Source organism: Homo sapiens, chromosome 12 (genome assembly GCF_000001405.40).
Source record: "Homo sapiens chromosome 12, GRCh38.p14 Primary Assembly".
In the NCBI taxonomy this organism is placed as follows: Eukaryota; Metazoa; Chordata; class Mammalia; order Primates; family Hominidae; genus Homo; species Homo sapiens.
Window position 1 is genome coordinate 102,166,341 of NC_000012.12, and position 26,141 is coordinate 102,192,481.

The 26,141-nt window shown below is 35.1% G+C and overlaps 1 protein-coding gene across 77 annotated transcripts in view, besides 1 other annotated feature; it reads left to right on the top strand.

Annotated features, from left to right (window-relative positions):
- Window positions 1–26,141, top strand: part of PARPBP (PARP1 binding protein) — a 77,338-nt gene that overhangs the window by 46,158 nt on the left and 5,039 nt on the right. For 27 of the 77 annotated variants that reach the window (NM_001319993.2, NM_001319988.2, NM_001400855.1 and 24 more), the window contains 3 exons: window positions 9,143–9,326; window positions 12,252–12,430; window positions 16,209–16,287. The exons of 13 other annotated variants lie outside the window; for them this stretch is intronic. In NM_001319993.2, coding sequence (NP_001306922.1) covers window positions 9,143–9,326; window positions 12,252–12,430; window positions 16,209–16,287 — 442 coding nt within the window. Of the gene's footprint in view, window positions 1–768; window positions 908–9,142; window positions 9,327–11,517; window positions 11,607–12,251; window positions 12,431–16,208; window positions 16,288–26,141 lie in introns of those variants that run through there. 37 more of the 77 variants (NM_001400870.1, NM_001400871.1, NM_001400925.1 and 34 more) reach the window with 7 other exon arrangements.
- Window positions 1,556–1,685: an enhancer, noted in NCBI's record as "active region_6880". NCBI's record gives its function as "activates an Ori minimal core promoter by ATAC-STARR-seq in GM12878 lymphoblastoid cells {active_cell/tissue: GM12878}" and the evidence as "EXISTENCE:reporter gene assay evidence [ECO:0000049][PMID:35858748]".

A 26,141-nucleotide genomic window follows, 5' to 3' on the forward strand; every position in this document is an offset into this window, starting at 1 on the left:
TATTGGAGGTAAGAGATTTTTAAAAATCTGATAGACCCCCATTTATAATATTGGTATATTGAGTGGTAAGTAAGTTTTAGGGGCAGAAGTGGATTGTAATGCTAGCAATCATGGTGGATCATTGTCAATTTGGTATCCTATAACATAAATAAACATAATAAAAATAGCTGATATTTATTGAACACTTGTTACATGTCAGACATTGTGCTAAGTTCTTTACTCAGATTATCATTTGATCATTACAACAACCTGACTTGATAGATACTATTACTATTCCTAATTTAGAGGTGAAGAGACTAAAACACAGGGATCAAGTAACTTGCCCTAGGTTATATTAAGTAGCAGAGTAGGGATCTGAACACAGTCAGTACTGTGCATCCATTCTCTTAATGACTATATCTTGTTCCATGAAACTTCATTCCATTCTAAGATTCTAAGAAGGATTTTTTTTCAGGATTTTATTCTGAATTGCAGTCTGTCTTCTCATATGGATATCCATTACAAAGAAGTAAATTTGGAAGAGGGTTTTGAAAATAACTTAGAGACAAAATAAGTGACATCTTCTGAACTTCCAGATAATATATTGGGGAGCCATTTCTATTGAAATATCAGATATTTAATTTTTAAAAAATTTTTTGTAAGGCAATATAGATATATTTTGTTAAAGTCAGGTGGTACTACAGTCATCTGTCAGTTTTTTGCCCTTGAAGATATTCCTTCTGGAAAGTCCCCTGTCATCTTTATTCAATCTTTGCTTTTGCTCGTTAGGCCTGTGTCAGAGTGGCAACCATGAACCTTCATCCTCACCTCGTGAAACAGTCTCTGCCTGTTTCCTGGCTCTTATGACTTTATTTTAATTGGTAAACCCCTTATTTTGCTCAAGTAGCTTTCTCAGAAAAAGTAAATGGTAAGCAAATATTTTATGTTAGTCTTATATTTGGTTGCATATGATTTTATGTCATGTTTCATTTATTTCTCTAAGATTATTTATTATATTTAATGTAAAAATATTGTTATCTGCTTCCTGAATGGTCTTTGTTTTATCTAGATTGGATGCTTTTCTGTTTTTTACTTTCTTTTTTTTGCCCTCTTTCATAGTAGAGGTGTTCCCACAATGTGTGGTGATTCTGAACTGTCCTTTCATATTTAAGAGTGAGGCCCTATAGAGCTGATTAGTAGCTCTGTATAGTGGGTTTATTTATAGCATGATGCCCAGTTGGCTCTTTTGTTGGAGACTTACTCTCCAAATGTCAGTAACTTTAGATCTTTTCTTTGGGACTTTCCCAAAAATTTCCACAGAGGAATCTTTTAATCTCTGAAAGCTGTAAATCTGGCTAGCAATATTCTGGGATTTGAGATAGGTCCACGTTGATGCTGAGTCTCACAGTTCCGTATGTAGACTTACTCAATTCCTTTGTTTTTAGTCCTGCTGCCCCTGGGTCTGGAGCCTCTCATAGTTTCTTTAGAACAGTTCTGCTTCCCATGCTGAGGTGGGAGAGAAGCACTAGACTGACTGCTCAGAATAGAGGGAGAATGGGGGTATAAGTGTTCCTTATGGAGACTGTCAACTAGCTTTTCTGTTTTCAACCCTGCCTTTACATAGCCATCAGTATTGCCTTCAATTTCTGATTAATTTCTGAGTTTGCTTCTTACTGATGTTCCTCTTAGCAGTTACTTAGGTTTTAGCTTTTGTATTCTGGGTAGTTAGTTATGACTCAACCATCTGTTTTCATTTTTTTGTACTTTGATGAAATGCCTCTACTCTCATCAGCTGTTGTTTCCTCTCTCATTCTCTTTTTCTTCATAGATGGAAACTTTTTTGTTTTTTGCTTTTTTGTCATTTTAGTGAAGTTTTGGAAAAGAGCAGAGATAAATGTGTATGTTCAATCCAATATGGTTTGTTATAATTACATTCCTTTTGGAGGAATTTCTGGTTGTGGTCAACAGGGTAGAAGTACATTTGTTTTAGAGGCATCTAGGGTGAGGGAATAGACTTCTTCAACTTAGCAGCCATTTATTTTGGATATTCCATGTGGTTATAATAAGGAAGTATCTTCTAGAGAAGGTCTTGAGGAAGTGAGTATCTAAATAGTGAATGTCTTCAACTGGGTATCTGAATAGTCCACTTGAGCAATTTTTGTTATCTTTTTTGTGTTGATTTGTTTGTTTATTTTTGTTCTGCAGTAGGTATAGGTTTGTTTTATAAATAAAATAAAATTATTAAAAACTAAAAACATATACCCTATGCATATCATAATAGATATTAATAGAAGGTGTACAGAGGAAAGGGCAATTGACCTGGTTTCTGGGAGCCAGGGATAAGGGTGTCAAGAATGCTTATCTGGATGGGTGTTAACAGTTAAGCCTAATTTTGAAGGATGAACTTGAAGGAGTTAACTAGACATGGTGGGTGGGAAAGTGGATAACCCATTTGGACATTGCTTCACTGGTTATTCATTTTATCTTATAATTTCAACCTCTCCCTTTACTAGTACTTTAGCCACATTCTATAAGCTTATAAGAAATAAACAACAAACTGTCTTCTTTGTTTCTTCCAGTTCCTTCTTCCTTTTACAGCTCATATTCTTAAAGAAAATACTTTCCTTTTTTCTGCTTCCCTCTTTGTAAGTATTTAATGTATATTTCTCAATAGACAGTAAACTCAATGAGAGTTTATTGGTTTTCTTCACCAATATTCCCTAGCCCTAGCACAATTTTTGCCAGAATAGACAGTCAATATTTATTTGATTGTCTGTACTTGACTGATTTATACTCCTTCACTTTTTCCCTCTACTGAAGCTATTCTGCCAGTGGTCACTTGTGATCTTCTAATTATCATAGTCTTTGGTCTCTTTTGAGTCTTCAAATTTAGTCATTTCCTATTGGAACTCTTTTTTCCTATAACTTCAGATACGTCATTCTCTTATTTTCCACCTACCTCTTCTACTACATATATGCAAATTCTTCTAAATCTATATTTCAGTGAAATTCGAACCTCTTTCCTGAGTTTCAGAAACATATCTTCAACTATCTTTAAGATGGTGCCTCACAGGCAACTCATATGTCCTAAACTAAATTTTTGTCTTTCTCTGCAAAACTGCTTCTCCTCCTGAAGCGATGAAGCCTGTCTCTCTCCAGCTCCCAAACAAGAATCTGGGGCATATCCTAAATACATTCACTCACTAAGATCCGTCACTTTTTCTTACTTCACATTTTTTATGTTCTTTCTCCTCATCTCTTCCTATAGCTACTATTTTATTTCCAGTGTTTACTGTTTCAGACTTTCATCCTTTCTTGTCTGGACCTTTTCACGTGTCACTGAGTTGTCTATTCTGCCTCCAGTCTTAAGTTGCCCTATCCTGTCGTCCTCATTGCTGCCAGAGTGATTTTTCTGAAACAACAAATGTTACTCCCATAATTAAAACTTTTCAGTGATTCCATATTTGGTACAGGGTAAAGCTTCAGGAACCTCAATATGATACACAAAACTGTCTATGCTCTAACTCCTGCCCATCTCTCACTCTGACCTCTTTATCCTCCTCGTCTCTGTCAACCTTAAAACTTAGAAATAAAAATGTATTTAGCTCTTGTATCTGAGGAAAAGTTTATACTACTTATTTTTAAATAGAAAAATTACAGTAATGTTTGAGTCCAAGGAAGGGTGGAATAGACAGACTGGGAAGAAATAAAGAACACTCATCGCCCCACTGCCCACTTTTCATGAGGCCATCTTAGCTATAGGTGGCTGCATTTCTACACTTTGCCAGTAGGTGACACCATAAAATGCATAGTGTACTTTCACCTGAAAGATGTCTTAAATGAGATGTTTCAAGTTGTATCAATTAATAGTTCCCTGTTGTTCAGAAGTTGAAAATTCTGTATTTCACATTTATCACACAACTTTTTAATGCACATTTACATTATACTGTCATGCGCCACTTGATGAGAATATGCTCTCAGAAATGCATTGTTAGGCAATTTCATCACTGTACAAACATCATAGACTGTACATACACAAACCTGGATGGTGTAGCCTGCCACACACATAGGCTATATGGCATAGCCTATTGCTGCTAGGCTACAAACCTGTATGGCCTGTTACTGTATCAAATACTGTAGGCAATTGTAACACAATGGTATTTGTGTGGCTAAGCATATCTAAACATTGAAAAGGTCCTGTTCAGAATGCAGTATAAAACATAAACATAGATAAGCATAGGGTACTTGCCATGACTGGAGTTTGCAGCACTTGAAGTTGCTCTGGATGAGTGGTGAGTGAATATGAAGGCCTGGAACATTATTGTAAACTCTTGTAGACTTTATACACATTATAAACCTAGGCCACACTAAATTTATAGAGCAAATATTTCTTTCTTCAAGAATAAATTACACTTAGCTTGCTCTAACTTTATGAACTTTAAAATTTGACTATGAATTTTTTAAAATTTTGAAACTTTTTGAGTCTTGTAGTAACACTTAGCTTAAAACACAAATACATTGTACAGCTGTACAGAATTTTTTTCTCTGTATCCTTATTCTATATGCTTTTCTCTGTTTAATTTTTCTTTTTTTTTTTTTTTTTTGCTTTTTAAACTTTTTTGTTTAAAATTAAGACACAAACATAAACATTAGCCTAGGTCTACACAGGGTCAGGATTATCAATATGACTGTCTTCCACCTCCACATCTTGTCCCACTGGAAAATCTTCAGGAGCAGTAATACCCCTGGAGGTGTCATCTCCTACAGTCACAACACCTTCTTCAGGAATACCTCCTGAAGGACCTGCCTGAGACTATTTCAGTTAGTGCTTTTTTTTTTTTTAAATAAGTAGAAGGAGTACACTCTAAAATAATGATAAAAGGTATAGCAAACACATAAACCAGTAAGAGTCATTTATTATAATGACCAAGTATTATGTATTAAACATAATTATGTGCACTATACTATTATATTACTGGCAGCACAGTAGGTTTGTTTACACAAGCATCACCACAAACATGTGAGTGATGTGTTGAGCTATGATGCTACGATGTTACATCACTAGGCAATAGGAATTTTTCAGCTCCATTATAATATTATGGGACTACCATCATATATGTGGTCTGTTGCTGACTGTAATGTTATTATACAGCACATAACTATTTATGTTGGGCTAAATATACATGTTTGGAGTGTTAAATCTCACTGAAATTTTTCAGTCTAATCTCCTAATGTTAAAGTTTTTCTTGTTTAAAAATATTTCATGGCCGGGCTTGGTGGCTCACACCTGTAATCTCAACACTTTGGGAGGCCGAGGCGGGCGGATCACGAGGTCAGGAGATCGAGACCATCCTGGCTAACACGGTGAAACCCCGTCTCTACTAAAAATACAAAAAATTAGCCAGGTGTGGTGGTGGCGGGCGCCTGTAGTCCCAGCTACTCGGGAGGCTGAGGCAGGAGAATGGCGTGAACCCGGGAGGCGGAGCTTGCAGTGAGCCGAGATCGCGCCACTGCTGTCCAGCCTGGGCAACAGAACGAGACTCCGCCTCAAAAAAAAAAAAAAATTCAGAAATATTTTTCATATATTTTATGTGGCACCTTTAATTACATTTAATTTTTAAAGGTAAAATTTACTTCAACAAATAGTTATCAAATTCTTGAGTATGGTATGGAAAAGCAGTCACTTTATTTAGGAAAGTGAAGAACTCAGTAATTACATTAAAGTATTACCAATCATTTGTCTGTATTATTGCTTAGTGTTCTCTTCCAGTTACTTTATTTTGGTACAAGCTTGGGGATTCAGTTGTGCTTTTCATCAGCAGCCTCTTGTTTCTCTTTCTGCCCCAGGGCACTGGTGTGATGCAGTTAGGAGTCAGGAGCTCAGTTTGCCTCTTTCTCATCTAAATTCTCCTATTAATGTTTATCCAGAATAGCCATAATATATCTTCTGGGAAGCACTCCTGAATACCTCCTCCTTCTCTCTACTTCCCCACTCAAACTTGTCTATACTTTCAGTAGTTCATTGTATCATTATCACTTGTGAGCTCTTAAAGAGAAAGATTTTATTCATTTTTGTATTGCCGGTGAACAGCATAAATATCCTGATGTCATTTTAGTTAAAACTTCTGGAGTTTCTAGGCTTTAGAAGCAAGAATTTGAATTAAACCACTGTGTTGCTGAGCAGATATTAGAAGCTAACCTAATGGTGGCTCTAGAAGTGAGTATATAGTAATGGAGTAATCAGAGCACTACTGTTTGGGGTATTTTGCCATGGCTTCAAAATGTTGACCTTGGCAAGTCTCTGAAATACAAGTCTTATTTTTTCCTAAATACAATTCAGCCAGTGAATTACATCATCTTTAAAATTTAACATTTTTGTCATGTAGAAGGAATGAGAAAAGGAGGTCAAAGGTGACTTTCCTAATATCATTTGAAGCATTTTTTTTGTTCTTATAATTGGCACTAAGACAGTCCCAGATTTTATTAACCATTTGAATCTTTTCCAAAACTCTTTTCTATTAGAGATTAATTCCCAGGAAAAGCATATAATGTTAATTACGTTTTCATTTTGGCTACATTTCATCCAGTTCACAGCTGAAAAAGAAAGTCCACATATATGTGAAAGAATTCCTAGGGTCTACTCAGACTTCTGATTACAGAAGTATGGCAGACTAGGCCCCCAGATTGATTCTTCCATTGAAAATAATTAATAATGTTGGATAGCATATTTCAAAAATTCTTCTTAAATGCGTTGGTAAGTAGGCAAATGTAATGAAAATATAGGTCAAAAATAGGTGAAGGAGGAAAGCCAGCGAGGCAAGTGAAGAAGGGAAGCCAGCTTTTAGCCCAGGAACTGGCCAGCATGGGGAGATAAATAGGAAACACATACCCATTCTACAGGGCTAAGCCCTCAGTGTAAAAATAAACTAAGAATAAGGGCTTTACTTTGACAAAAGGGTTTCTCTAAAAACCTAGTTAATGGTAAAACGTTTTAGTGTTCTGCTTAAGAATAAGACAAGAGTTCCTGCTGTCATCAGTTCTTTTCAACATAGCATGAGATGTCCAATTCAGTGTAGTAAGACAAAAAGAAATAGGAGATATAACAGTTGAAAAAATAAAATTCTATTTGATGATAATATGACTAATTATATAGAAAACTCCAAGAATGTAAAGGCAAATTATTACAATTGGCAGTACAGTTTAAGAGTGTTGCTGGACACAAGGCCAATAAACAAAATGCAATTGGATTTCTGTATCATTACTAAATAGAAGGATTTTTTTTTAAAAAAAACTTCAAAAATATAAAATACATAGAATAAATCTAGTAAAAACCATGCTAGCTTATTTTCCCTTGAAAGGTTCAAACTGAATGTGAAAGTCCCTGCTTGTCCTCTTCCACCTTGCTGCTATCCCTGAGCTTTGTATCCTGATCACAGTGTTACTAGAGATGTTTGTCCTCAGGATGATATCCTGCTTGCTTACTATGCACAGCTTTCGGCTTACCATGCCAGCTCTGGTTGGTTCCTTTTTGAGGGAGAGATTGGGTGGTACTGGGAGATTTTTGTCTCTTCGGTGATATGTTCTTCAGGGTATCTAGTATGCCATTGTGTAAGTAGACACCACCTAAGTACTTTTGTATTGCAAATAATAATAATATGAATAGTAAAATATATATCATTTGTCTTACTATTAAAAACTTTAGATTGTTGCATGTGATAGTATTCATTTATTCAACAAACATACATCAATCATCTCTTCTGTGTGCCAAATGTAAACTGACAGTATGAAGATCAGTAAAATATGATTGCTTTCTCAAGGAGCTGATTTTTTCATGACTTTTTTCTCACCCTTGCCTAATCATAAGAATCACCTGTGGTACTTTTAACACAATGCAAACATTTAGTGCTCTTCTCTGGAGATTGTAATTCCATAGGATGGGATCTGGAGTTGATGTTTTAAACAAATGCCGGATATGAGTCTGATGATTAGGAAAATGCATTGTCATCATACACTAAGTCTCTCTGCAATTTTCTTCTAACTTTCCTCTTCTATCTGGACCAGCTACTTAAATGTGGACATTCATCTCTTTCTAGCTTGTTAGGGAACCTGGCATTTCTGTAAAACATACAACCTGGCAATAAGGCGAGAGTGAAAACTTCATTTCATAATTTCCTTTATGCCACTACAAAAGAGAAATTTAATAGCATACCCAAGGTTGAAAGTGGCAGAGCTGTGATATGTGCTCAGGCAGCCTGACTTCATGGTCTGTAGTCAGACCACACCAGTTTCTCATTTGGCACTGTGCTGCCTTTCCAGTGATACCTCTAGGGATGGGATCTCCTGGCTTTAAAAGAGAATCCTCTTCTATTGGACACACCTCATTTCTTCCTTAAAACGGACCAAAATCCTTCCTCTTATATGTTTCTCACATTTGTCCTTTAGAGCAGAAGCTGCAACCCAAACTCTTAATTTTAGGTGTGGTATAAAGAAATATCAATTTCGGGTTTTTAAAAACACTTGTCTGTTGGCCATAGTTGGTCCAGTTTCTTGTTTGCTTTAGGTCATTACTAACTTGCTTAGTTTCCTCTTCCATGTAATAAAACCTTTCACTTATTAGAATGCAATATCATGTTTTTCACGTCAGTTTCCTTCCTCCCTGTCTCTTCCCTCACACAGAACACCATATGTTCTTGGACAAACCATTTAACCTTTGTGGGACTCAAATTTTCTCATTTGTGATGTAGGGATAATAATATCAACTTACTGAATTGGTTTTAAGATTAAATGAATGTAAGAGTCTAGATATTCAATGAGAGATAACTGTTCTTGTTATTTTAGTTGTATCTAAAGGTATATATTTTAAATATATTGCATGTGTACAACCACTTCTGAACCTGTTATATTTCACATATAACTAAATTATTTCCCATCAGCTTTCAAATCAAGGAAGAAGAAACTTATTGAAATTACTTGCTTTTAGACAAACTTTTAAATTTTGTTTCTAATGGTCCTTATCTTTTTCTTAAATGCTTTAACTGTTTGATATATAAGATCAAAGCTATATTCTTTGAAAAGTGTTAACTCTGAAAATTATATTTTCAAGTCTATAAGCATATTATAATTTGCAATACTGCTATAGAGGCAATCTAATTTCTATTTTCAGCATTGCAGGGGGTCAAATACTGTCAGTGATAAAGATGCAACTGATTAAAGGCCAAAACAGCAGGGATCCTTTTTGCAAAGCAATAGAGGAAGTTGCTCAGGATTTGGATTTGAGGATTAAAAATATTATCAATTCTCAAGAAGGTGTTGTAGCTCTTAGCACCACTGACATCAGTCCTGCTCGGGTAATGAGCTTTTTATTTTTCATTATCCTTTTATACAAATCATTATCTCTTCTATTTATTGTAGAAATGGTTTATTATTGCTACTTAAGTCAGAAGAGTGTGTTTCCTGTGTTCTAAAATGATATTGAAAATGTAAGTTTCTCAATAGGATTATGTAGGATTACATGTTCAACTTGGGTAAATTATCACATATTTGGGCCAAATTTCTGAATTTGTTAAAGTAAGGCATAGGGTAATCTCTGGTATCCCTTTTAGTACTAAAAACTTATAATTCTTGATGGATATTAAGGTGTTTTATGCTATTTTTCCATAAATATTCTTTTTTTTTTTTTTGAGACGGAGTTTCACTCTTGTAGCCCAGACTGTAGTGCAATGGCACGATCTTGGTTCACTGCAACCTCTGCCTCCTGGGTTCAAGCAATTCTCCTGCCTCAGCCTCCCGAGTAGCTGGAATTACAGGCACCTGCCACCATGCCTGGCTAATTTTTTGTATTTTTAGTAGAGATGGGGTTTCACTATGTTGGCCAGGCTAGTCTCAAACTCCTGACCTCGTGATCTGCCCGCCTCGGCCTCCCAAAGTGCTGGGATTACAGGCATGAGCCACCACGCCTGGCCTAAATATTCTCATAAACAATTACTTTCCCATTTACTCAGATATAAAATAAAAGCCTGTTTTTTCTGTTTCTGACTTTAATACTAAGCATTGTATTAGGACAACAACAGTCCTGTTAGAAATTGCTTCCATTCAGCAGTTTACTTTTCTTTTATAAATCTCTGTCTCTTGTTTTCTACCTCCATTACTAAAACCTGTACCTGGCAATTTTTAAACTATATATTCCCAGAACATTTACTTATTCTTAATTTTTTTTTTACAGAGATAATTAAATAGAGTAGATTCTAACCCACAGAATTATAAGAGAAATTGACTACTGTGTTTTTAGAACAGAATTTTAGAGTAGTATAGTTCGTTTATTGCAATTTATTCAACTTTCTAATAGCCCCTTTTTATTAGGTATGATTATGGTAGCCAGTGTATGAAGAAAGACTTTTGCTTAATTTTTATTATTTATCATTCATTCGTTCATTCATTTACTCACAGCACTCTGGGACCACTTTTAGCTATTTTTCTATAACAGTGCTTGTTTTTAGATTTACTTTGAAGGTGGGGAAGATTCAGGGTTGTTGACCTGTGTATTTCATGGGTGTTAACACTTCCTGGTGAATAGTTTGGCTCAAATGACAACCAGGTTATTACTATAAGTATCAATCAGAATCTGTCAACTTCAAATAATTAAAAACATCAATTGCTTCCATTTCTTGGCAGAAGAAATAAAGATACCAACAATCTGGTTCTTAATTTCATGTTTTCAACCAAATCAGAGATCTTTGAAAAATATAATCAAATGATACTCATGAAGTTACTATTAAGGAATATGGAATTCTGTGGTACTAATGAAAAATATATGTGAAGCACCAGATTGTGATAGGCAATTTGTTATAATTCCAGTAGAGCTATATACATTATAGTTCACCTGGTAACCTGAGTCTGCCAACAGAGAAAGAAGGCCAAGATGATATTGATGAAAGCTGAAGAAACTGGCACAGCTTATAACAGATGTCCCAGAAGATGTAGCTTTGATATCTAGGTATAATGTCCAGCAACCCTCTGGGTTAGGCATTATCATTGCCTCTATTTTGTCATGGAGTTTAAGAAGAGAGTTCAAGCACCTTCTCCAGAGTTATACAGGATATACAACTAAGCAGTTGGTATCAAATCCAGCCAGAAATGCCTTCAGAGTTTGTGCTTACATGTATCTATACATAATATTTTATTATTATATATTTTATTTTATTCTATCTAGTCATGAAGTTTTTTTCAGCTTTCCCTTTTTAATCTGCTTTATCTCTATTACTACTATCTTAGTTCAGAACTCTCCATTTCTAAACTGTTCTATTATAGTCTTTAATTTGTGACCTGTCTCCAGATTTGATAACATTCGTATCTCACAATATATTTTACACATTGCCATCATTGGTTCTTTAAAATCTAAACAGGATCATTTTACTTCCTTGCTTACTGAAGCAAGAGATTTTTCCTCTGTAACAGACTGGCTTATAACTTCTTGGCATGATATACAAAGTTTCCCAGGCTCATCTCATACCACTTCCTCCCTTTTACCTTATTCTTCAGCCATGCCATGCTACCTGGTCCCTGAAAGCACCATGCTCTCTTCTTCCTCTGGGTGCCTCCTCCTCTGTGGAATCATCTTTGATGCCAGGGTACATTGGTCACTTCTTTTGTACTCCCACTGCACTGTGCGTACACTTATTAGAAATAGCACTTAGCATTCTGTAATGCAATTGTCAGTTACTTATTTATCTTATCAAGGAAACTATGGGTTCTTTGAAGGCAATGGTTGTTACCTTTGGAACCTTAGCTTTAAATATAGTGCTTGGGACATAGTATATGCTTATCAATGATTATTGAATGAATGAATGTCAACTAGCTTTTCATTTTTGCATTTGATCGTTACAGTCATCCATGGGGCCTGTATTCAGATAGCCAGAACCTCATCATTCTTTGGCATAAGAGAGAAAAAATAAATAGAGATGTTGAGCCATGGGGCTGATGTCACATAGCTAGATAGTGGCTAAAGTTTTCTGACTCAAAGCCTAATGTTATTTTGACCAGAACCTAATGTCTTCTTTTGATGATATTATTTTTGTGCTTTTGGAATTGGTAAAGTTGATTATAGCATGGCTTAAGGAAAAATGGTCACATGCCTCACAGCCACTTCTTATAGCTGATGTTTTATTACTTTAACAATAGATGAAAGAGGCCAGTGCCACAGGGAATTTAAAAGTATGGCCATTCACCCAGCTGGGGTGATTATTACATTTACCTAAAATTATTTTTTGTCTCAGCCAAAATCTCATGCCATAAACCATGGTACTGCATACTGTGGCAGAGATACTGTGAAAGCCTTATTAGTTCTTTTGGACGAAGAAGCAGCTAATGCTCCTACCAAAAACAAAGCAGAGCTTTTATATGATGAGGAAAACACAATCCATCATCATGGAACGTCTATTCTTACACTTTTTAGGTAAGTTATGTGGAAGTTATATGTGTTATAAATGTTAACTCTAGAGAATTATAAAAGAAATGTATGCTTATGGTAGGAAACTTAGAAACTACAGAAATTGTGAAGAAAGAAAATAAAAGTTAATTAAAGGGAGATTGAACATTTGAATTCAAAGAGGTTATATATAAAAGAAGTAATATTTTATGAGAGTACAGCCTGAGAGATGTCTTTGGTTTCAGTGTTGTTTTTAGTTCTTGTTGTTTTGCTTTGAAAATATTTATTTCCTTTGCTGTGGGTCAAGAATTTTGCTAAATGTTTCAGTTAAATTATTTCAGCCTTCCCAACCAACATGTTCTTAAGTGAAGAATTAGAGGCTCCACTTTATAAGTGAAGAATTAGAGACTTGAGAGATATTAAGTAATTTGCCCAAGTGAGGTATGTTAGCAATTAGCAAGGGTGTCTTTCTTAAAGCCTGAGGCCTATGCTCTCAGGACTACTATTCTGCCTAGAATAAGAGAGAGCACATACACCAAACTTACACTGGAATTGACAGCTCCTGCTTCTCCCTCAAATTATGAAGAAAAATATTTACCAAATTAATGCTGGTATTATGTGTAAGACATTGATGCTGTCTTCGTCTACTCAGGCTGGCATAACAAAATACTACAGACTGGGTAGCTTAAACAATAGAAACCTATTTTCTCTTTGGGCTGGAAGCTGGAGATGCAGGGTGCCAGCATGGTCAGGGCTGGTGAGGGCTTTCCCCTTGGGTTGCAGATAACTGCCTTTTTGCTGTGTGGTCACATGTCCTTTCCTTGGTAGAAGCACATGGAGAGAGATCTCTTTGTCTTCTTGTAAGGCCACCAGTCCTGTTAGATTTGGATCCCACCCATGTGACCTCATTTAATCTTAATTACCTCCTAAAAGGCCCAAATACAGTCACATTTGGGAGTTAAGGCATATAGATATATATATATGGGTGATGCAGTTTCATCTATAGTAGATGCTCTCCAGTTTTAATGATTAGGTCAGTCGTTGAGTAGGTTGTTGATATTTTTAATTAATTGGACATTCACTTTGAGAAACATTAAAATTTTTAGAACAACCATTTTAAATTGTATTTAGTACACTGTAGAGAATTTTCACAAAATTATCGTACCGCTTGATCTCTTCTATTTTCTACTGGAGCTATTTTATTGAAATCTGGCTTCATGATTGCTTCACATACTCTCTCCTATGCCTCAGTATCCTTTCTCTTCTCTTTAAACAGAAACTTTACAGTGGTCTGTCATTCAGTGTTGTCATCTATTCCTTAAAATCTCATCTTCTTTACCAACTTCCATGACTATTCTTTTATATCTGGACATGAAATAATTCTTCCACATTCTACCTTAGAATGCCCAAATATTTTATTAACGATAAATATTTTTATCAGTGATTTACTTATACCTGCTGCTGGGATCCCAGAAAACAGTAAAAAGAAATAAATGAACTTTTATTTTTTCTCTTTTCATCTTACTTCTGTTTAACAAGTTTGCTTTTGGGTAGAAATGTAAATAATTTCAATTTTCTCTCAGACTGAATTCATTTTCTTAAAGTTATTTTCCTTTCATGAAATTTTTATTCTAACAAATTTAATCCCAGAGTCCATTTTAAAAAGGAATCTTTCTAGGCCAGGCATGGTGTCTTATGCTAATAATCCCGGAGCTTTAGGAGGCCAAGACAGGAGCATTGCCAGAGACCAGCAGTTTGAGTCCAATCTGTGCAACATAGTAAGACTCTATCTCTGCAAAAATAAAAAAGAATTACCCAGTGTGGTGGTGCATGCTTGTAGTACCAGCTACTTGGGAGCCTGAGGTGGTGCATGCCTGTAGTCCCAGCTACTTGGGAGCCCAGGATTGCTTGAGGCCGCAGTGAGCTATGATTGCACCACTGCACTCTCTCCTAGGTGACAGAGCAAGAAAGAAAAGGTTTTTCTATACTTAATCATGTCACTGAACACATTGCTATTGTTCACAGTTTGGATTCTGCATTCGCATTTCTAATTGTCATTGTGCAGACAAACACTGGTCTGTGGTAAAGTAAATTTTCAGTGGTCTACACTGAAATGATAAAATTAAGGACAATGAGGTATATCAATTTAAGGTTATCAACTATTCTTTCTTAGGGCAGGCAATCTTTTATTCTTGCTTAGTAGTCATTTGAGTCAAGGGGGTTCTAATTCTGGCTCTATTAAGCCAAAAGGGATTAATTTATTAAGGTATTCAAGTTGGTCTGAATCCAAAACTATAGGGTGGGTCTTCTCCTTTTTACCTTCTCTGACCCTCCTATTTCTATGTTTTTCTCTTTTGAATTCTCATACTATTTTGAATTTCAGTTATGTGGATTTCTTATATTCTTTACTTAGACTTCAGGATGCCTGAATATAGGGTCAATAAATAAGTCAACTTTCTATTCTTCACAATATCTTGTATAGTGCCTTACAAATAGTAGAAGCTCATGAAACATTTAGTTACTGGATTGACTAAGCAAACTATTAATATTTAGGATTCTCAGAATAGAAATAATGACACTTTTATAAAGTACAGTTATGCATTGTTTAATGATGGGATACATTCTGATAAAGGCATCGTTAGGCAATTTTGTCATGTGAACATTATAGAGTATACTTACACAAACCTAGATGGTATAGCCTATTACACACCTAGGCTACAAACCTGTACAGTATGTTATTGTACTAAATAGTATAAAGAAATAGTAACATAAAGGTAAGTATTTATGTGATAGGAATTTTTCAGCTTCATCATAATCTTATGGCATCACTGTCAAATATGTGGTATGTTGTTGACCAAAATGTTGTTATGCAGCACATGACCGTATTATAAACAAGTAGATTTAGTGGTCCTTTATCCTATAACTGTGCTTTTGGGTAGGGGCGGGGCAGATACTAGTTTAAAAGCCATTTTGGTTTGTAAGTGTCTTCATCTCTTCAGGCTGTTAGAACAAAACACCCCAGACTAGATAATTTGTAAATAACAAAAATTTGTTTCTCATAGTTCTGGAGTCTGGAAGTCTTAAGATCAAGGCACCAGCAGATTTGGTGTCTGATGAGGGCCTCTTCCCCATAGATTAGATTTTCTTGCTGGGTTTTCACGTGGCTGGGAAGACTGAAGGGCAAAAAGTGCTCCCACAAACCCTTTCATAACGGCACTAATCCTGTTCATGAAGGCAGAGTCCTCATGATTTAATCACCCTGAGGCCCCACCTCTTAATACCACAGATGGTCCCCAACTTATGATGGTTTGACTTGTGATTTACCTTCACATGACTTTACAATTGTGTGAAAGCTGTACACATTCAGTAGAAACTGTGCCTCGAAATTTGAATTTGGATCTTTTCCTGAGCTAGCAATATGTAGAACAATATTCTCTCATGATTCTGGGAAGCAGCAGTGAACCACAGTATTCAGATAGCCACATGATCATGGCGGTAAACAACTGATACTCTGCTGTGTTGCCTGATGATTTTGCCCAACAGATATTGGAATGTACTAATTCCAGCTAATTCCATGTTTAAGATAGGCTAGGCTAAACTATGATGTTCGGTGGATTGGGTGTATTAAATGCATTTTTGACTTAATGGTATTTTTAATTTATGATGAGTTTATCTGGGAGGTAACCCCATCATAAGTTGAGGAAAAACTAGATTGTATTGGGAATTAAGTTTCAACGTGAATTTGGAGGGAAACAAACATTCCAACCATAGCAATAAATTTTTGCCTTTTTTTTTTTTGACATAGGTCTCCCACACAGGTGAATAATTCGATAAAACCCCTAAGAGAACGCATCTGTGTGTCAATGCAAGAGAAAAAAATTAAGGTACAATTTAATGCATGCCATGAAAATAGCAAACACTGTTTTATTTTTAGAAGAAATAAATACATGAAGCTGAGCTGGGTATTGTAAATATTGTAAACATTGTACATGACACAGTAGGAATTAAATGGAAAATGAGTTATGACAGTTGACGTACAGAGACTTTCCTTTTATACAGTCTTGACTAATCTGTTTCTGGTTTGCTTAATCCACTGGACCTAAAAAAGGGAAATGAATAAGCAGTTGCTATTGTAAGTGTTGAATAAATATCCGTTGAATGAGTGATGTGGAAAATAAAAGAAGATAAGGCTTTCTCATTTACATTTCTATATCTTAAACTGAATCTCAAGATATGTGATTTTAAATTTGCTCCTGTCTGAAGATATAATGGCAGAATATAATTAATTATAGATTGAGCTGAGAGCATTTTACACTGCTCTTGACTAGAACTGTTCCTGTTCTTTGTTCATTTAGTTTGAACTAAGTTTTGCTGTCTTCATATGAAACATCTGTGCCTATAAGTAATCAATAATGTGTTTTCAAGCAATTTTTATTGGCCTTATTTTTCAAAAAGAAATTTGGCTTTAACTCATTTATCATACTTTTATTGGGTATCTACTATGATCCAGACACTGTTGTATGGTTGGGAATTCATTAATTCATTAAATAAGATTTTTATATAAAATTTATAATCATCCTTAAACTGTCAAATATTCATCTTGATACAACAAAAAAGAGAAGACTAATTTGTATGCCCTTTATTTTTTCATTTGGAAATTTAGTTTAAATTACCAAAGCTTTTAGTTAATACCTGTTTCATCTACATACCCTATACCCATTTAGTTTATTTATTAATACCTTTTCTTTCTATTGATTATTAGTAGTTGTTAGCAATTAATGCTTGTGGAATACATCATTGAGTTTCATAAAATTTTTCTGTGAATAAAATTTGTCAATTCTTTGTCATATTAATATAAGTATTTGCAATCAAGGGATAAGATTTTTAAAATCTATCCATTGGACTTGGATAGAAACAGAAGTGTAACATATCAAAAAAATTTTTTTCTTGCTATGGATACTGACAAACTTTAATATTTTGATTTAAAAATAAGTCATATTTTGGGGAGCTCAATTTCTCTGTCTCCATTTCAAATAGAATACCAAAGTGGGTCAGGTATGGTGGCTCACTCCTGTAATCCCAGCACTTTGGGAAGCCAAGGCAGGCAGATCACTTGAGGTCAGAAGTTCGAGACCAGCCTGGCCAACATGGTGAAACCCTGTCTCTACTGAAAATACAGAAATTAGCCGGGCACCTGTAATCTCAGCTACTCGGTAGGCTGAGGCAGGAGAATCGCTTGAGTCTGGGAGGTGGAGATCACACCACTTCATTCTAGCCTGGGTGACAAAATGAGACTCTATCTGAAAAAAAAAAAAAAAAAAAAGAAAGAATGTAAGACATGACATAAGGAAAAATCACTGACAGTGAAGTACGTTAAATATTACCGGGAAAGGGCTTAGAGTTTTCTTTTATTTTATTTACTTTTATTATTTTAAATTTTGTTGTTTGTAACTTTTGTGGGTACATAGTAGGTGTATATGTTTATGGGATACATGAGATGTTTTGATATAAGCATGCATTGCATAATAATCACATCATGGAGAATGGGGTATCCATTCTCTCAAGCATTTTATCCTTGGTGTTATAAACAATCCAATTGGATTTTCTTAAAATTAAGTAAATCAAAATGAAAAAATCTATCTGAGAAATGAGAGTGTTTTTAAAGAAAATGTTAAGGCTCAACTAATTACTACGAAACGTATAGACAAATTTAGAAAGTTTTGGGAAATAGAACAGAGATCATCTAATGCAGTCTCATTTACAGATGTGGAAACCAAAATTCTAAGAAGGCACCTTATCCAAGATCTCATAACTACCATGAAATATTTTATAACAGTTTGCAAAACCATGGTTAAATACTAATGAGGTTATAATTACATTGCTTCCATTACTTAACAGTAGAGCTGACTTAGTCTATACAGCTCTGAATCTACTAATAAACGGCAATCAAGAAAGGAAAGCATTGCTTATGTTTTTGCGATACTCTTTTTAAAAGTGAAGTATGAAAATGATTAGTTTAACCAGGTATACAACTGAACCATAGCCATGTAGAGTATTTGTTGGAATAACAAAAAATGCTGCCAATATTTACTACCAAAGTTCCTATGGAAAAGTAGTTTAGCAGCTGATTATCTTATTACTCTGTTACTTTTGCTCTTTTGGCATATAGTGGTTTTTAGTCACAGAAATAATATATGATCTACACAGAAAATATCTTGAAATGAGCATTTCAAAGGTAGAAAATAATTAGATAACTTAGAATTTTGATGTACTTGCTTATGAAATATCCATGTCATTATTATATGGAGTAAATTAACTCAGATTTTAGTTTCCTCATTCTTAAATAGAAATAGATGCTCCTGCGATCACAAAAGTTTATGAAACCCTTTGGAAATAGTTCACGAACACACTCATTTTAGGTCCTCAACTTTTATTTCCTACTGTAGTGTATCAGGAATCTTGTTTATGATGGTCTTTCAGAGGTTTTTATCATGAAAGGGTGTTGAATTTTATCAAATGCTTTTTAAGCATCAGTTGAAAGGATCATATGATTTTTGTCCGTTATTCTGTTGATATAATGTATCACATTGATTGATTTGCATATGTCGAACCATTCTTATATCCTTGGGATAAATCCTACTTTGTCATGATGAATGATCTTTTTAATATGTTGTTGAATTTGGTTTGCTGGTATTTTGTAGAGGATGTGTGCATCAATTTTCATTAGAGATGTTGGCCTACAGTTTTCTCTGTTTGGTTTTGGTATTGGTAATACTGTCCTTGTAGAATGAGTTTGAAAGTGTCTCCTCATCTATTTTTGGAATAGTTTGAGTAGGATTGGTATTAGTTCTCTTTAAATGTTTGCTAAAATTCAGTAGTGAAGCCATTGGGCCCTGGGCTTTTCTTTGCTGGGATAATTTTTTTTATTTTTTTGAGATGGAGTCTCAGTTTCTCAACCAGGCTGGAGTACAGTGGCGTGATCTCGGCTCACTGTAACCTTCTGTGTTTTAAGTGATCCTACTGTCTCATCCTCCCAAGTAGCTGGGATTACAGGCACCCACCACCATGCCCAGCTAGTTTTTGTATTTTTAGAAGAGATGGGGTTTCACCATGTTGGCCAGGCTAGTCTCCAACTCCTGACCTCAAATGATCCACCTGCCTCGGCCTCCCAAAGTGCTGGGATTACAGGCATGAGCCACCCGGCCCAGCTGCTGGGAGACTTTTTAGTACAGCTTCAGTCTCATTACTTATTATTGATCTATTCAGGTTTTTTATTTCTTCATGGTTCAATCTTGGTAGATTGTGTATATGCATCTAGGAATTTATCTATTTTTTCTAGGTTTTCCAATTTATTGGCATTTGTTGGTCATAGTGGTCTCTAATGACCCTTTGAATTTCTGCAATATTAGTTGTAATGTCTCCTTTTTTAAAAAAATTTCTGATTTTATTTATTTGGGTCATCTCTCTTTTTTTCTTAGTCTAGCTAATGGTTTGTTGATTTTATCTTATCAAAAAATTAACTTTTCATTTCCTTGATATTTTGTGTTGTTTTCTTGGTTTCAATTATGTTTATTTCTGCTCTAATCTTTATTAATCCTTTTCTTTTCTTCTACTAATTTTGATTTTGGTTTATCTTGCTTTTCTAGTCCCATAAGATGCATATTTATGTTGCTTATTTGAAGTTTTTCTTGTTTTTGGATGTAGGTGCTCATTGCTATAAAATTTCCTCTTAGTACTGTTTTTGCTGTATCTCATAGGTTTTGGTATGTTGTGTTTCGATTTTCATTTGTTTCAAGAAATTTTTTAATTTCCTTTTTAATTTATTAAGCACTTTAAGTAAGTTATTATAAGTACCCTTATACCTTTTTATTAAATGATTTTTCAAGGAGATACCTCCTTAAATCCCTGTGAATTAATTGGCTTTATTCTTTCCAACTTGGTTTAGTGGTAGTTTGCACATCAGGCACAATTGAAAAGTCATATATACAGGTCTTTTCCTTATTCTGAGTCTAATGTTTATAGCATATTATATTGAATGTCTGAGTAATCATCATTTAGCCAGTCAATAACTTAAGTGTGCTAATCAGGAAAATACTGGACCTTTAACATGGAGCTGTTGGGACAGTGAAAGTCAGGACTTGGTATAAAAAACTGGACTGGCTAGAACTCTTTATTTTCATAAACACCCAGGTAGTAGTCCAATGCCTATGGTATTAACAAATTCTTTTATTTAACCCCATGGTATTAGAAACTTCAAATTTAACCTTTATGATATTTGAAAACTCTTGAGTACATCTAAATTAAAATAGTGGATTGAGTTTAACTAATAGAATTTTCTTCCCCTGCCTGATACTTGAAATGAGTACAAAGTAATAAAAACTAATAAAAATAATCAGCATCAACTAAGAAAGAATAATGTAATCAGATGCAATAAGCTTAAAAGATGATGGTCAGGGAAAGAAACTGAAGATTTCAGAGTGAAGAGGCATAGAATGATTTGGCAACTTTAGTTAGTCCTAGTCCCCAGATACAGAACTAGTGAATTAGCAAAATTCTGAGGATTACCACTAATACTTCCAAAACTGAGAACTAAGGTGTGCATTCCTTTTTTTTCTTTTTTCTTGTTCATTAGAGAAATAGTAGAAGTGGCAATGGAAGAGGAATATAGACAAAATGTGGAAAATGAACCCTGGGATTTACACACTGAGAGAAATAAAGGCTCTAGTTCTATCTACTGAATTGGGGAAATTATCCAAATGCTTTCCTTCCACTTGATTGAAATACACTCCCTAATGAGATGAAGTGAACCTTCCTCTGGTATATACAATATGTAATAAACTCCTAGAGTGCAGAACCCAGAAATTTTCATAGACTACCTGTCTCCTCAGATGAGTTGAGCTTCTACCTCTACTGTTCCTCAAGCTACGGAAAAATGAGGGATAACAGAAAAAATGCAGCTTTCAAAATGTAACTCTGAGGAGAAAATAAAATGCTGTCAGATAAGGAAGGAACAGAATCAAGTTGTGATGTGGAGACTTCTTTTTTTCATGAGGATATAGTACGTCATGGTAGAACACCATTCTCGCTACGATAGCAAAACAATAAAAGGCAGATAAGTTGGGGAAAATATATTTTAAAGACATAGGAGAGCTATATAATCAAAGAATTTTTAAAAAATTAAAAATCTGGACAGGATAACATCCTTCTGATGTGAGAAGTCTATTGTCAGCTGCTTTCTTCCCTGGGATTTGTTGCTACTTTTGAATATGAGCTGAGGATTGGTGTTAGCCCATGTAAAGGAACTCTATTGAGGAACAGAGAAACCACCAAAGTGTTTGGGTGTCTTGAGGGGCTGTCAACAAATTGGAAACTTTAGCAGTCCTAAATGCAGTTATTTTTACCTAGGACACATACTCTGAATTTTGTAGTTGTGTGGGGAGGTAGGGAGCCTTACTACAATAGACTAAAACCACCTTGATTCCACTTGAGAAGTGGGACGTGCCTCAAACACGTGGCTGGTCTTTTTTTTTTTTCAAGATATTTGCCATATTTGGAAATAAAGTGGGGTGGGAGATCACAGAACATAGTGTGAAAACCCCTGAAAAACAGACTGAATCTCCCAGATTTTAGGCCAGAGGTGACAGAGATCCCTACAAGGCTCGCAGTTGAAAGCTTAGAGCACACCCGAGGAAGAGATAAGAACCAGAAGTCAAATGTGAGTTAATGAAAAGTGCAACCCAGCTCTGATGCAGCTCATTCCTTGATTGTATTGAGGTTATCAGTCTTTCACTGTGTCTGCCTAACAGTGAAAAGGAGAACTCTTCTTGCTGGAAGAGGTCATCTGTAGCTTCTAGAGTTCCTTTATGTGCAATATCCAGCATGAAATAAACTATACTGGACATGAGAAAAGGCAAGATGATTTGTCCTTTAATAAAGGGAAAACATTTAACAATAGAGGGAGACTCACAAATGATCCAGATACTGAAATTTACTGGCAAGGAATCAGAAAGAAATTAACTTATAAAAGTAATTGGAGGAAAAGATGGTCAAAATATATGAAAAAAATGGAGAATTCCAACAGAGATTTAGAATCGATGACATAGAACAAAAAAGATAATGTTTTTCCAGAATTGTAAAAACATTATCTAAAATTAAGACCTTGTTAGATGTGGTTAGTAGAAGACCAGACACAGCATTAGGTAGGGTAAGTGGACTTGAAGATGGAGCATTAAAAAAATCTCCAAACTGGAGAGAAAAGAGAGAAAAACAAATGAAAAAGCAAAATAGAAGAGCAGGACACAGAGAAAATGTCTAACGTATGCCTAATTGGAGTCCCAGAATGAGAGGAGAAAATAGGGTAGAAACAATATTTGAAGATACATTGGTCATAATTCTTTCCAAAGGTCAGTTCACATCAGATTACTACCTAGCATTTAGAAGAGAGGGTGGACAAATGCAGGGTTTCCTTTACAAATATAAAGTTGCCTATGGGTTCCAAATGTGTGGACCCAGCATACTACAAAATGTCCCATAGTCCTTTGAGAATCCATCTGCAGACATGAATGTGCCACAGGGCATAGACTGTAAAGCTTTGTTCTAGAGCAGTGCTCTCCAGTAGAACTTTCAGTGATGGAAATGATCTGTGTTTGTACTGTTCATTACTGAAGGTCCTAGTCACATGTGGCTATTGAGCTCTTGAAATGTGGCCACTGCATTTGAAGAACGGGGTTTTAAATTTTATTTAATTGTAATTAATTATCCGCACATGGCTAGCACATTAAACAATGCAGTTCTAATGGATTAAAGATACACTTAAATGCAATAACTAGAGACCCATATTAAGTGGAGGAAATAATAAGAGATGAGAATAAATAGGATTTGAATAGGCAGAGAGATTGAAATAGAGCATTTCAAACAACTGATGATGAAAGTATTAAATTGCCTTGCTGTTGTAAAGAGAATGTGTGTAGGGTAGTTGTGAAAAAAAACAGTGAATAAATAATGTTGGGGAAGATTAAGGACAGTATGCCTTTTATGGTATTAAGGAATAGAGTAATTTTTTAAGGGGTTTATTGTAAGGACGAGAGAGAAAGGCAGAATATTTAAGAACTCAAAAGTAAACGGTGGAAATTAAGCAGCTTAAGGAATTCAGCTGCATGGTTCTTTGTACTTAAATGTGATTTAGGTTTTCTCTGCATGTATATTTCTCTCTTGTTTCTGTACCAACTGGTTTCTTTACCCTATTGAACAGAGTAGAGTTTACTCTGAACATATTTTTCTACCTCAAAGCTTGTGTTCCTAGGGTGATGTAGTTGTTCTTTTCAAGTCTACTTACTTTTTAAAAATTTATTGTGGATACATACTAGTTGTATATTTTTATGGGGTACATGTGGTATTTTGATACAAGCATACAATTATCGTGTGGTTACCTTATAGAGTCTGTTCTCTTTTTCCACCTCCAAACTTTTGCTTGCTCATGGCTTCTGTTCCCTCACAGCTCTGCTTGCATATACTTGTTATAGTCTGTTGTAATTTTACTTCATTAATTAATTCATTCAAAAAACAGTAAGTACCTCCTGGATACCAAGTTCAGTCCTAGGCACTGGAGATACATCAGTGGAAAAAAACAGACAAACCTTCCTGCCCTAAAGGACAAGGCTTCTCTAAAGATTTATACAGCTGAGGTGCAATAATATAAATGGAAGCCACTGGCCTACCCTGAAACCCCTTCAACCTTGATTTTGTTTCATACTCTGAAGAATACTCTGCCAGTAGGTCTGTCTACCCCACAGCCCATCACCCTTGCCATAAACAGTCAGCTCTTGAGGCTAAAGGAAGAGGCCAGTGCCAGCCCAGTGCCCAGGGGTCCTTGAAACAGGATCTATAAAGGAGGTCATGGTTTCCTGGTGAGCATGTCTAAAGCTCTGGGCACTCCTCACCCTGTAAGGAGGGGATGGCAACAGGAGGACCACAGCTGGCCATCAGTTGTCAAACTGTAAGGGTTTTACTGCTGATGGAGTTTATATTTTAGTTGGGAGAAGCAGACAATAAACAAACAAGTGGATTATATGGTATATTTGAAGGTTATCAGTGCTGTGGAGTGAAATGAAATGGGTGGGGCCTAAGGAAAGTGGGGTTCCTTTGTGTGTGTTTGGGTTTTAAATAGCCATAAGTAGGAGTCTCCTTGAGAAGGTTGACATTCAGCAAAGTCTATAAGGGACTGAGCAACATTTTCCGTTAGAATGAAAAAGGAATGTTTGTATTAGACTGAATTAAAATTGAATTTGTTTTAGCTGAAATAATGGGATCAGGATTTATTGAGTACCTACTAAGTGTTCAGTGTTTATACTGGATATTTTATATCCCTCATCCCAATTAATCCTTGCTCAACTCTGGAAGGCATCATTTTGCAGACCATACATATAGTAAGTAACAGCAAGGGTTTATAGTCAGGTGTCAGACTTCAATGTTTATGCTATCTTCAAAGATTAAATAAAGGCATGACAATTATGATGTAGGATCATAAAACGATAATGCTACTACTTAGGTCAAAAAGATTTTTTTCTGCTATTAAGCAGAGTAAATGGAATTTCACTGATGAAGAAAAGGATTATTTGATTTATATACAATTAATATGTCATTAAGGATATAAAATCTCTGTTCTTTCAAAAATGTGATAATGTAAAAATAAGGTAAACTTAGAATATTTTTAGTTACATATTTACTAGGTATGTTGAATAATTTCCTTTTTCAAACTTGCTAATATATTTATTGGTATAATGGGGGTTTAGAACTTTCATTTTCGTGTTAATACAGCTAACTCTGAGTGTCTATGACTTTTCAGTGTTTTGACTCATTTATTTTAATTTAACTGGAGTCAGGCTTTCCTATGTGAAGTACTATTTTCCTCAAACTGGGAACTTACTAATAATTTCAAATTAAAAAGAGCTTGTGGCAAAAGGACTTTTCCAGTTCTTGGCAAGTGTGAAGTTCATTGCAATTATGCTGTGGATAGAAATATTTCCAAAGGGAGGAAATCACTCTACAAAGGAATACTTTCAATCCATTTCTCTCATGTGACTTGAACATGAAATGATTTTAACAGCCATGTATGAATCTGGACATTATTCTTAGTTGTTTAGTACTTCAAAAGCACTTTTAAGAGGGAATTGTTTTGCTTATTTGTGATTCCAAATCAAATACACAGAGAGATTTGGAAGATTTGCAACAGGAAGTAATCTCAGTTCTATGTAGCCACTAATCTTGTGTAGAAAAATTCAACTTTTATGAACAAAGGAAAAGCAATCTCTTTTAAGTTATAAATATAAGCCAATGTAGGTTGCGTTGTTTAAATAATTAAAATGAAGAAGCTGTTTGTAAGTTCATTTTTTTGAGCTGCATTCCTAGGATCATTGTAGAACTGGCCTGATTCTGAGATATCTAATTGAACAGATCTTTTTCTTACAGGAATACTCTCTTCCTACATGTTATTACAATAATAATGATATAGTGTCTACATAGATTTCTGCAGTTTATATAACCTTGACATATGTTAACTGCATCCAATTCTGATAATTCTGTGAGGTAAATATTCCCATTATGTGTGGATAAGTGAGAGGTATAATGGTTTCCCCAAAGTTATCTAGTTAGTAAGTAATACGGCCAGCATTAGAAGCCAGGTCTTCTGACTGCAAATCTGATGCTTTTCCCATCACATCATCTTATCTTTTTGTGCTGC